Source organism: Homo sapiens, chromosome 5 (genome assembly GCF_000001405.40).
Source record: "Homo sapiens chromosome 5, GRCh38.p14 Primary Assembly".
In the NCBI taxonomy this organism is placed as follows: domain Eukaryota; kingdom Metazoa; phylum Chordata; class Mammalia; order Primates; family Hominidae; genus Homo; species Homo sapiens.
Genome location: NC_000005.10, coordinates 78,732,151 through 78,744,825, shown reverse-complemented (window position 1 = coordinate 78,744,825; position 12,675 = coordinate 78,732,151). Strand labels below are relative to the sequence as shown.

At 40.1% G+C, this 12,675-nt stretch overlaps 1 long non-coding RNA gene across 3 annotated transcripts in view, besides 1 other annotated feature; it reads left to right on the top strand.

The window, feature by feature from the left end:
• Nucleotides 1-12,675, top strand: part of LOC124900191 (uncharacterized) — a 115,042-nt gene that overhangs the window by 27,975 nt on the left and 74,392 nt on the right. The window contains exon 4 of one of the 3 annotated variants that reach the window (XR_007058833.1): nucleotides 10,351-11,919. The exons of the other annotated variants lie outside the window; for them this stretch is intronic. This is a non-coding gene — a long non-coding RNA (uncharacterized LOC124900191). Of the gene's footprint in view, nucleotides 1-10,350; nucleotides 11,920-12,675 lie in introns of those variants that run through there. 3 annotated transcript variants of the gene reach the window in all.
• Nucleotides 8,804-8,883: a silencer, noted in NCBI's record as "silent region_16125". NCBI's record gives its function as "represses an Ori minimal core promoter by ATAC-STARR-seq in GM12878 lymphoblastoid cells {active_cell/tissue: GM12878}" and the evidence as "EXISTENCE:reporter gene assay evidence [ECO:0000049][PMID:35858748]".

The window sequence follows — 12,675 nt, the reverse complement described above, 5'->3', positions numbered from 1 at the left end:
AATCATTAAGAATGCTCAGCTCAGTCTGTTCTTGCTCTGCACTCTCACAGCCAAAAAGAAGCAGCTATCCCCAGCCACTTTGAAAGCATCTACTACTTTTTATTTTTTTAACACTGTTTCCTTTGTGCATTCCTTAGCTTTGCTCTTGCCATCTTGCAATATACAAACACATCCCTTTCCATCTTGAGTTGCCATTTGATCAGGGAAGCTTTTGCCCTTAACTGTCTGGATTGTGGAGATTTTTAGCTACTTTATTGTTAGCTGATGTCCTTGGCAGCTGGAGTGAGGAGGTTTGAGGATAGCAAAAGTATAATAAGAAAGTAAATTATGTAGGTAAGAGGTAAAGACTGATCTGCCTTGAAGGCAACATCTATCCCATTCACGTTTTGTGAAAAATATTTATATAGTCAAATAATATAACTAGCGACTATTAATTTAACCAAAATGTGCTATAACTATCTGGGAGAATGAAGAATGGAAAGAAGGGACATACTGGGAGAAGGGGAAACATGGGAAGGTTTTAAGGAGTTAAATTTAGCTCTTCCATAGGAGAAAGTCAATACATAATGTGCAATGCTTTCAAAGCAAGGGATTACTACAAATTTTAATATGTAGCATTTTCATTCACTTCATGATTTCATTCACTTCATTCCAAAATATTTTCTAATTTCCATTTTGATTTCTTCTTTGATCCAGAGGACATTTAAAAGCATATTCTTAATTTCCATAGATAGGAAGGTTTTCTTTTCTTTTCTTTTCTTTTCTTTTCGAGACTGTGTCTCGCTCTGTTGCCCAGGCTGCAGTGCAGTGGCGCCATCTCCATTCACTGCAAGCTCTGCCTCCTGGGTTCATGCCATTCTCCTGCCTCAGCCTCCCGAGTAGCTTGGACTACAGGTGCCCGCCACCAAGCCTGGCTAATTTTTTTGTGTGTTTTTAGTAGAGACGGGGTTTCACCGTGTTAACCAGGATGGTCTCGATCTCCTGACCTCGTGATCCACCCGCCTCAGCCTCCCAAAGTGCTGGGATTACAGGCGTGAGCCACCGCGCCTGGCCGATGTGAAGGTTTTCTAGGGTTTTTTGGTACTGATTTCTTTTCATCTGCGGTGTGCAATTCTTTTCATATGCTATATAACTTCAATCCTTGGAAATTTGTTTCAACTTGCTTTATGACACAGTATGTGATCAATTTTTCTATATATATGCTTTACAAATATATGCACTGTAGTTGTTGAATGCTCCATCTTATCTCTCAAGTTATTTGGCACTTGTTGCTAAAGTGTTCTGTGTTCTTACCAATTTTTATCTGCTTGTTCTCAGTTACAAAATATGTTTTTTAAAAAATTCCCGCTAGGCTGGGCACGGTGCTGTATCACTTGAGCTTAGGAGTTCAAGACAAGCCTGGGCAACATGGGGAAACCCCATCTCTACAAAAAATACAGAAATCAGCCAGGTATGGGGGCATGTGCCTGTAGTCCCAGCTACTCGGGAAGCTGAGGTGGGAGGATGGCTTGAGCCTGGGAAGCGGAGGTTACAGTGAGCTGAGATTGCACCACTGCACTCCAGCCTGGGCAACAGAGTAAGACCCTGTCTCAAAAAAAAAAAAAAAAAAAAAAGAAGAAAAAAGAAAAAACCTCCCACTAAATCTAAATTAATATTTTTGTCTATTTTCCTGTTTAGTTCTGTTAGTTTTTGCCTTATATTATTTTGAAGATTAGATTTTTAGGTGGATACAAATTTAGAATTGTGATATCTTCCTAATAAGACGTATATTTTATCATTAAGTGTATGTTTTTGGAGATATGGTTTACTAGTAACTGATAGAAATAAGGCTATACCCACTTTGTTTTCATTGATATTTAAAATGTATTTTAAGTCCATCTCTTTACTTTAAAAAAGTATTATTATTTTACAAATAATATCTTGCTGGTCTTGAACTGGTGGCCTCAAGGGATCCCTCTGCTTCAGCCTTCCAAAGTGCTGGGATTACAAGTGTGACCCACCATGCCCAGCCCACCTTTTCACTTTTAACATGTCTATATTCACAGATAGAATTTTAATGAACATCAAATTGGTTTTTGGTACCAGTTTGAAGATATTTGGCTTTTCATTGCCTTATTGTATTACATGCAATTACTGCTATATTTGGGTTTGTAATCTTATTTTATAAAGTACCTTATTATTTCTCTGATTTGGTCTACATTCTTTTTTTCTCTCCTTTTTTTTTATTTAAAATTATTATTATTATTTAGAGACATGATCTTGATCTGTTGCCCCGGCTGAAGTGCAGTGGCATGATCATAGCTCACTGTACCCTCAAACTCCTGAGTTCGAGAAATTCTCCCACCTCAGCCTCCCAAGTAGCTGGAACTAAAGGTATGCACCATCATGCCTGGCTAATTTTTACATTTTTTTTTTTTTTTTTTTTTTTTTTTTTTGTAGAGACAGGGTCTTGCTATCTTGCCCATTCTTGTATTGAACTCCTGGGCTCAAGTGATCCTCCCACCTCACCTCCCAAAGTACGGGGATTACAAGCATGAGCCACCATGCCCAGCCCTTTGTTGTCTTTTTAGCTCTCGGATACCTTCAAGCAGGTATTTTTGTATTGTATCTCATTATTCTAGCTGCTCTCAGTGAGTGGATTGGTTTAAATTGTCTAGTCTATCATTACTAGAATCTCAGTTTTGGTTTTTTTTTTTTTAATAACAGTATGGAGTCTACTTAATTACAGGTCTTCATTACATCATTGTAGTTAAAATGTGTATCTCATTTCTGGGAAAATTTGCTCAGCTTTTATACCAATATTAGAGTATTAAAACTCATTTTCCTGGCATCTGTGTTGGCTCACACCTGTAATCCCAGCACTTTGGGAAGCCGAGGCAGGAGGATTGCTTGAGCCCAGGAGTTTGAGACCAGCCTCAGCAACATAGTGAGACCCTGTCTGTACTTAAAAACAATTTTAAAAATCAGCCAGGTGTGATGGTGCACACCTGTAGTCCCAGCTACTTGGAGCCAGGGGTGGCTGAGGTGGGAGGATCGCTTGAGCCCGGGAGGTTGACGCTACAGTGAACCACGATCCTGCCACTGTACTCCAGTCCGGGCGACAGAGAGAGACCCTGTCTCAAACAAACAAAAGAAAACTTGTTTTCCTATCTTACAGTCTAGGAAGAAAACTGCCAAAATTATAGTCACACTTTGTAATTTTTTATTTAATTTGGATATATTCTTATAGAGTAAAAATATAAATGTAGAACCACATACATTTAGAATTGGCCTTTATTGTTTTAGGGGAAGTCTGAAAATGATTTTGCCCTTCAAAAACTCTTCAAATTCTTTTCTCTTCTTTGTTTCTAAGATTTTTTTCCTTTGCCTTCCCATAGACTTTTTAGCTCCCTTCCTTCTGATCACTAGCTTATGCCAGAACCCCAGGGAATTTCCACTTAAAGAATCCAACATCCTGGTCCTAAGACAGCAATAAAAGTAGATTTTTAAATAAAAGTAAAACAGGCTACAGTATCTACAGTCTAAGATGAACAGAGTCCAATAAAATTGTTCTTGGATTAACATATGCTGGAACCTCTGGAACCTTCTAGGGGTGAATAATTGCTGAGTTCAGCATCTTGCCAAAACAGGTTCAAGAGTGTTTTGTGCTTGATATCTTTTCCAATTAAACCATTCTACATGCTATGCTTCCTCATAATAGTACGATTAAAATTTGATGAAAGTGTATGAGATTTTCCCTTTAAAAAATCAAGCACTTTATTTATATAGATTGGAGGATTTGGACCTAATAAGTTGACCCAATATGATCTTGATGCTCCCTTTCCTGAGACATGCTGATGATTCTTTCAAATAGATGATGGTTTCTTTCCATCACACTGGGTGCCTCTACTTAGGTAAGCAAATGATTGACTGACTGTAGCTTCCAGAATAAACTCTGCTTGGAATTATAGCAAAACTATCCCTGATAGAAATGTTAGCTGGCCACAGACACAGAGCAAATATTCCCAGTTGCAGTTGCTTGTTCATTTTATTCATAAAACAATATTTATTGAGTACTGGTCACTGGGAATAGAGCAGTGAAAAGTGAGACTTGGTCCTTGCCTCATGGGACTCATGTTCTAGTGAGAAGACATGATAAAAGTATATAATAAGTAAATAAGACAATTACAGGTTGTGCTGTGTTTATCAAGGAAATAAGCAGGATGATGTATTAGACAGTAACCAGGGAGGTCACTTTATATAAGAGGGGGAAGGGGGGGTCTAAAGAATTTAATCTTATCCTGAGGGATGAGAATAAGCCAGCCATATAAAGATCTAGGGGAAAGCAGGTCCAGGCAGAGAAAACAACCAGTGGAAAATGATTTGGTATAGGCCAGGACCACAAAAGAGACCACACTAGAGGATAGAACAGGAAAAAACAGAGAAGAGGCTGGAAAGGTGGGCAAATCATTCGGTTTTAAGGAACTTAGAGACTTCAGTAAAGGTTATATGTGAATCTAGTTGTCAATGAATATTTTCTCAACATGCGTGACTGGAGGGATCCAATAATCCTCCCTATAAGGCCAAGGGCAATTTGTCAGGATTGATCTCTCATAAACTGCATAGAGGTTTTGGCCTATAGAAAAAACACCAAGTCACCAAACCTGAAGTCAGAACTTCATGGGGCTCTTACCACATCTGGATGAAGGAATGCGAGTGAAAGCTTTTATCAACATGGAGAACTACATGAATACAAAGGGTTATTCTTTTTTATTCTAGCACAATCTGTCTCCTGTAATGATCTTTTCAAAGACACTTTACGAGGCAACAGGCCCTCCTGGCATTGCACAGTGGGTAAAGCAGGAAAGGCTGTGCTCATCCATGTGGTTATGGAAGGACTAAGTGGGTTGCATGTGTGAAGGTGCCCCTCCTCCCAATAAACGTGGTCCAGTACCTTCTGTTCAGAATTTTCTCCTATGTCATCTCTAGTTCCCACTCCAAAACTTACCTATCCGTGTAGCCCATGTTTTCGTGACACTTCTCTACAAGGTAAAGAAGGATGGATTTGTGGTGTGCCCACCAAGTTATATCTCCCAGGTAAAATGAAGTAATTTCCAGAAGGCCTAAGCAATAATTTTAATTTAGGGACTATATCAGGCATTGCAGAAGTCACCAGAAATATATATGTATAATTTCTGGATTTTTCTGTACTCCTCATATCACATCAAGTAGATTGCTGCTGATTTTGCCCACAGTGATACTGGCTCTCCCCAGAGTGTTAGACAAAAACAAGACACCAGACATTGTCTATGCATCTCTCTCCTCAACTGAGTCTCATCACTCATTTTCAGACAGATCTCACTGGTTTATCTGCTGCTCTGACATTCCCCACTCCTAATCCAACATTTTGAGCAGCTTTGCCCTTCCTTCCTCACTAAGAGCCCTATAGCCCAGGACGGTCCTGGATTCTACTTGTTTTTCTGGCATAATTAGGAATAGCACAACACCCCCTCTGTATCTTTCAAATGCATGCAAGTATAGAGGATACATTATTGGGTAACCCCACCTGTAGCTGAATGAGTTTGAGCAAAGCTGGAAAGCAGGTGTAGGGGTGAAAAAAGGAAAAGCTTAAAAGTGGAGCTGCCAAGACAAAGCTAAGGAGGTGCCAGGTGTTGACCTTTCTCCAGCCTCATTCTTCTGCCTGCTGGACTCGGGCCAGGAATAAGGCTGCTTCTCCAGAGAGGTGCCCGATGAGCACGTGAGGGCAGGAGAGTCATGGAAATCAGAGATGAAAAAGATGGGAAAGAAAATGAAGGGTGGTCTTAGGAAGGCATCAAAAGGTTGTGCAACCCCACGAGGATGTGTGGAAGACAGCATTTTGTTGCTTGTGTTTTACCTACATTCACATTCCTGAGGGGGTGGCAGAGTGCCAAACACTCCTATCTGGGCTCTATTCCCTTTGCTCTTTGTCACTCACTTGTTTCTGCCCAGGACCATAGAGGACTTACCCTTACTAGGAAGATTGCCAGTGTTAGACCTGCCTGACTGGGCAGGAGGCAGGAGACTGGGGTCTGGTCCCTTTTGTTACTTGGTGACCTTAAGAAAGTTACTTACAGAAGTTTTTCATTCACAAAGAGAGGTGAACCAGGTGGTCTCTAAGGCAATATTTCAAATTATTTGTGTATTGCTTAAAATAATTTGAAAAACTACTTCTTCCCTTTGCAGTTTACGTTATTTAAAATGTTTCTTCAGGCTGGGTGCAGTTGTTCACGCCTGTAATCCCAGCACTTTAGGAGGCCAAGGAGGGCACATTACTTGAACCCAGGTGTTGGAGACCAGCCTGGCCAACATGGTGAAACCCCATCTTTACTAAAAATACAAAAAATTAGCTGGGCATGGTGGTGCGGGCCTGTGGTCACAGCTACTAAGGAGGCTGAGACATGAGAAATGCTTGAAGGTTGCAGTGAGCCAGGACGGCGCCACTGCACTCCAGCCTGGGCAATAGAGTGAGACTGTCATAAATAAATAAATAAATAAATAAATAAATAAATAAATAATGTCTCTTTAACAAAAGATACAACTTCCAATACATAATAAATATGAACCTTTTAAAAACCTTCTTACATCATTCTTTAAAATGTATCCAAATACTATAGCCATTTTATAGCCACCATCATAATTTTAAAAATATATCAATAAATTATTCTTTAACACCTGGAAATTTTACATGGTTACTCTTTCACTTTTAACTCATTTTATTCTATTTCACCAAAAGAATATTACCCCAATATAACATTCTGAATACTTGAAAGTCTTTTTGAAAAGTCACTCTATCCTTCTTTCATGCAGCAAAAGTATATAAACAAATTGAAATTTAAAATATTTCCTGGGACTGGAAAGTTCTAAGTAAGGGTAATAAAAAGTTTAGATGGAGTATAATTGTTTTGACCAACTGTAATCATTAAATATTAAAATTTTATTAGAAATGTATCTCAGTAAAATCAATAGGGCTGTTTGGGTCTTTAAACAAATTCAGTTATATGTGAATGAGTATAATTTATTACATCAATTTTATTCCACTTTTCTGTCTTTAAAAAATGATGCTGTGGTGGTTTTTTTCTTGTTTGTTTTTGAGACAGGGTTGCCTCTGGAGTGCAGTGGCGTGATCTCAGCTCACTGCAACCTCTACTTCCCAGGCTCAAGTGATCCTTCCACCTAAGCCTCCAAAGTAGCTTTGACTACAGGCACGCACAACCATGTCCAGCTAATTTTTTTGTATTTTTTTGTAGAGATGGGGTTTCACCATGTTGCCCAGGCTGGTCTCGAACTCCTTAGCTTAGGCCATCTGCCTGCCTTGGCCTCCCAAAGTGCTGGGATTATGGGCCTGAGCCACTGTGCCTGGCTGTTTTTATGGCTGTTTTTAAAAATGTTAATGCAGAGGAACATTGTTCATATAAATAAGCAGAGGTCCATGAAAGGAGTTTTGTCAGAGTAAAATCACTCATTTCTCTGAAGTCCTCAGTTATATATAAAAAATGATCTGTGTGATCTATCATCAAAAATAATTTTTGGACCAGGCACGGTGGCTCACACCTGTAATCCTAGCACTTTGGGAGGCTGTGGCAGTTGGACCCTGAGCTCAGGAGTTTGAGACCACCCTGGGCAACATGGGGAAACCCCGTCTCGACTAAAATACAAAAAATTAGCTGGGCGTGGTGGTGCGCGCCTGTAGTCTCAGCTGCTTGGGAGGCTGAAGCACAAGAATCACTTGAGCCGGGGAGGTGGAGGTTGCAGTGAGCCAAAATCTTGCCACTGTACTCCAGCTTGAGCTACAGAGTCCAACTCTGTCTCAAAAAAACCCAACAACAACAACAACAATAATAATAATAATTTATGGCCAAGCACAGTGGCTCATGCTTGTAATCCCAGCACTTTGGGAGGCCGAGGCAGGAGGATCACTTGAACTCAGGAGTTTGAGACCAGCCTGGGCAACGTGGTCAAGCCCCATCTCTACTAAAAAATACAAAAATTAGCTGGGCATGGCAGCTGAGGTGGGAAAATCACTTGAGCCTGGGAGGTTGAGGCTGTAGTGAGCCAATTGTGTCGCTGCACTCCAGCCTGGGTGACAGAGTGAAACATTGTCTCAAAATAATAATTTTAATGTTCTTCCAGCTGATAATTCAATGGGTCCTCTTTTAATTTTATTGAAAACAAAAGCCTACAAACTACTTTTGCAAGAATCTGATCTGCAAAAAGATGTATTTCCCAATCTTTCACGTTGTTCACTTTCTCAAGATCAATGCCAACATTTTGAAATGTGCCATCCAAATAGAAAGAGGCTATTCTTTGTATGATGAGATGAAAATAAATCTCCAAAGTAATCTTAAAGCAAAATAACAAACAAATGTTGAATTGTTTGAATTGTTTCTTTATTTGGCTTCCCAAAATTCTTCCTGGCCTGGAGCAATGCATCAGAATAAAATGCAGGACAGGTGAGAGGTACTCTTGTCTTCCGTCAAGTGAGAGAAGAAAGGCTGAGAGGGAAAAGGAGGAAGAACCAGCAAGGTGCTTTCCCAGACTAATGAGTTTTATAGACATTCTGCATCTAGAAGCCAATTCCTTTAACCTCCTAGCCCATGTGTATACACCCTGGGGAAAAATCTTCCTGAATCCTCAGGACTGTATGTGAGACAGGAGAGTTCCCTGGCCCTCCTTGCAGGAAGTGTGACAGGGGTGTGGCTTTCTGTTCAGCCTCCATGAGCTCAAACCCCTTGCAGGAGGGGGAGCATGCAGACAGGCAGGTGCAGGAACCAGGGTGAGCACATTTGGGCTCTGGCCCCACAGCAGCATCTAGGTAGGGGTGGGTGTCTGTGACTCCTGAAGCGCAAGTGGGCGTGTGTTATAATGCGCTCTTTTAACCTTGCTGTCCACAAATGGCTTAAGTGTTAGACAGCTCAGTGGACCCTCTTGGCACCCAGGTCTAGTCTGTCATCCAGGAAGAATCAGGTCACACACGGACTTGAAGAGTGAATGCGGGGATTTTACTGAGTGGTGGAGGTAGCTCTCAGTGGGATGGATGGGGAGCTAAAAGGGGGATGGAGTGGGAAGATGATCTTCCCCTGGAGTTTGGCTGTTCAGTGGCCAATCTGTTTTGTGATCATCCCTAGCCAAACTCCTCTCAGCATTCAGATGCTCCTTCTCTTCTCTCTTGCTCTGCCATGCGTTCTGCTGTTTGTCTGCTCATCTCCCCCAGAGCCTGGGGTTCAGGGTTTATATGGGTACAAGATAGGGGCATGGCAGGCCAAAAGGCAACTTTTGGGGCATGAAAACAGGAATGCCTATTCTCATTGAGGGCTGTGGGTTTTCAGGCTTGAGGGTGGGGCTTTGCCAGGGAACTGCCCTCTTCCTATTATTTCCCTGTCTGCATGACATGTACCTCAGATTGACGATCCAGCCCTAATATCTAAAAGTCCAGTGTTAAGTAAAAGTGGAAACAATTGATAGAAATTTATTTTTTAAGTAAATCTGATTTATTTATTTCTGATTAGATAATATATTCACCTGGCATAAAATTAAGAGGTACTAAAAGCACACAGTGAAACTCTGCCCTCCCACTCTGATCTCTTAGTCTTCTGTTCTCTTCCCCAGGCAATGGATGTAGAAATTTCATTGTGTAACTGCTAAGATAATCTATGCATATTCATGCAATTATGGACAAATATTTTTTTCTTTCTTCTCTTTTGCAATTGCGACTGTGCTATACACACTGCCTTGCACCTTACTTTTTTGTTGTTTTGCATTAAAGTTGGAGATTTATTTTTATATAAACATACAAAGAATAGCTTCATTCTCTTTTAGATGGCACAATAATCTGTGGAATGAAAATTTGCTAAAACGGGCCCATATTTAGGTTGTTTCCAATAATCTCTATTGAAATAGTGCTGTGATAAATAATACTGTACATATGTCACTTTGCATTTGTGTGAGTATATTTGTTGAGAAAATTCTTTCTTTCTTTTTTAAAAAATTTTTTATAGAGATGGGGTTTCCCCATGCTGACCAGGCTGGTCTTGAACTCCTGACCTCAAGCAATCCAACCGCCTTGGCCTCCCAAAGTGCTGGGATTACAGGCATGAATCACCATGCCCAGCCCAAGAAAATTCTAAAAGTGGAATGTCTGGGGAAAGGGCTTATGTATGTGTTATTTTGATTAGATGTTAATAAATCACTAATCTTCAAGGAGGATGTAGCACTTTACTCTACCAGCAGCAAGTTATATGGGTATGTGCATTAGTTACCTATTGGTGCCTAACAAATCACCCCAAAACTTAGTGACTTCAAACAACAATCGTTATTTCTCATCTCTCACAGTTTCCAGATGCAGGGGCGGCTTGGCTGGACTGTTCTGGTTTGGGGTCTCAGAGGAGGTTGCTTTTCAGATGGGTAACTTTGAAGATTTCCTCACATATCTGGTACAGGACTTACACCTCTGGTGCACAGGCCAAAACTCTCAGTGATGGAATCACTGGGACCACTCAGGTATCTCTTTCTATTTCTATTTCTTTGTGGTCTCTCCACATGGTTTCTTCAACTTGGTGACGTCAGGGTAGCCAAACATCTTACATGGGAGCCCAGGGCTCCAGAGAGTACCTGGAAGACAGAAAGAGTGCCAGGTGGAAGCTAGATCCTTTTTATGGTCTAGACTTTAGAAGCATGTCCAGGGCTAGGGGAAGGCAAGAAAGATGCCTGGGGCAAGTGATCGAAGGAGGCATCCTTATAAAAAGACGTGTTTGGATGTCACATAGTATCCCTTCCACGATCCATCCAGTGGGGAGAGTTAACAAGCCCACCCAGGTGTAAGGAGAGGGGACACAAAGGGAGGGAACTCCATCTTGGTGGGAATAGTGTCAGTCACATTGTTATAAAGAGCAAACTGGATATATGCTCAAGGTCTTTTCGCCTTTCCAATCTGATGAGTTAAACATGGCATTTTGTTTGTTTTTGAAAACAAACTTCTTTTTGAAATGTAATTGAATTGTACTTTCAAATCATATTACACATATGAAAATCTATGAACGAGGTGAACATCTTTTCAGTGTTTGCTTCCTCTTTAGCAAATTGTCTCCATAGCCTCTGCCCATTTTTCTATTGGTTTTTAGATCTTTCTCTGTAAGAAAAGTGTGTAGGTGGTTGTGTGTATGTGTGTGCAGAGACAGAGGAAGAGAGAAAGGAAATTAGTCTTTTGTTTGTGATGTGAGCTATAAACATTTTTTCCCATTTATTATCTACCTTTCGACTTTGCTTATGATGGTTTTTCCATGCAAAAAAGTTATTTTTGTGTAGTTAAATTTCTCTTTTCTTTTAGTCTTCTGGATTTTTGTCATACTTGAAAAGGCCTCTCTCACTCTGAAATTATAAAATTTTCCCCATGTTTTCTTCCACTCTGTGTGTGCATGTGTGCACGCATGAACACATGCACGTATATATATGTGTTCGTTTTTTTACATCTTTACCTTTGCTGTATTCAGTATTAATTTTACTCTAAGATATGAGGTAGGGGTGCAAATATCCTTTTTCTTGATGGCTATCTAGTTGATTTGAAATGTTGCCTTTATTATATAAATTACTGAAGTCAACGTTTGTAATTCCATTTCATTCATGTATGTGGGTCTTTATGTGATAGTGCTACAATATTGTAAGAATTGTAGCTGTGAGATGTATTGTCCGGTAGGGCGACTTCCCTTTATTCATTTTTATAATTTTGTTAACTATTCTTTCTACTTTTTAAATGAAAACCATTTATTAAGTTAATTGCATGGTGGTATTACTGGTCATGAAATGTGATTAGGATGAGCGAGCTCACTGGGTGTTTCAGATTTTTCTGAACATAAAAAAAGGGAAATGAAACAGCCAGGCATGAGCGTCTGTAATCCCAGCACTTTGGGCGGTGGAGGCGGGCGGATCATTTGAGGTCAGGAGTTCAAGACCAGCCTGGCCAACATGGTGAAACCCTGTGTCTACTAAAGATACAAAAAAAAATTAGCCAGGTGTGGTGGTGCAAGCCTATAATCCCAGCTACTCAGGAGGCTGAGGCAGGAGAATCACTTGAATCTGGGAGGTGGAGGTTGCAGTGAGCCGAGATAACACCATTGCACTCCAGCCTGGGTGACAGGGCGAGACTCCATCTCGAAAAAAAAAAAAAAAAAAAAAAAAAGAGAAATGAAAGGTTCTCTGGTATCCTAAATAGAGAGAAGCCTGTCATTAGAAGGAAGAAGTTTCCATCTCAAATCTGCAGAATACTCTGGAGGCTTGATCTGAGCCATGATGATACTTGAAGAGAAATAACTTAAATTGGTGGAGATTAATGATGAAAAAAACCCCTAACTTTTAATATGGTTATCTTCCTATATTAATAATTTAGATTTAATGCCAAATCTCCCAAGATAACGGAACCTTTCTTTAATTATTAGAAATCATACATAACTTCCATTTGTTCATCTGTAGTACTATTTCTATATAATTTATGTTTCCCTAAAAGCATGGGAAAGGAGTATGAATGGGGTTCACTCATTAGAAGTTTTATTCACCAATATTGTGTTAGATTTTTCCCTATTTTTCAACAAACAAGTTATTTTGGTGAGTATCTCTTAGAGCCACATTCTTGTTACTTTTCCACTTATGTCTCAAGATTGTAAA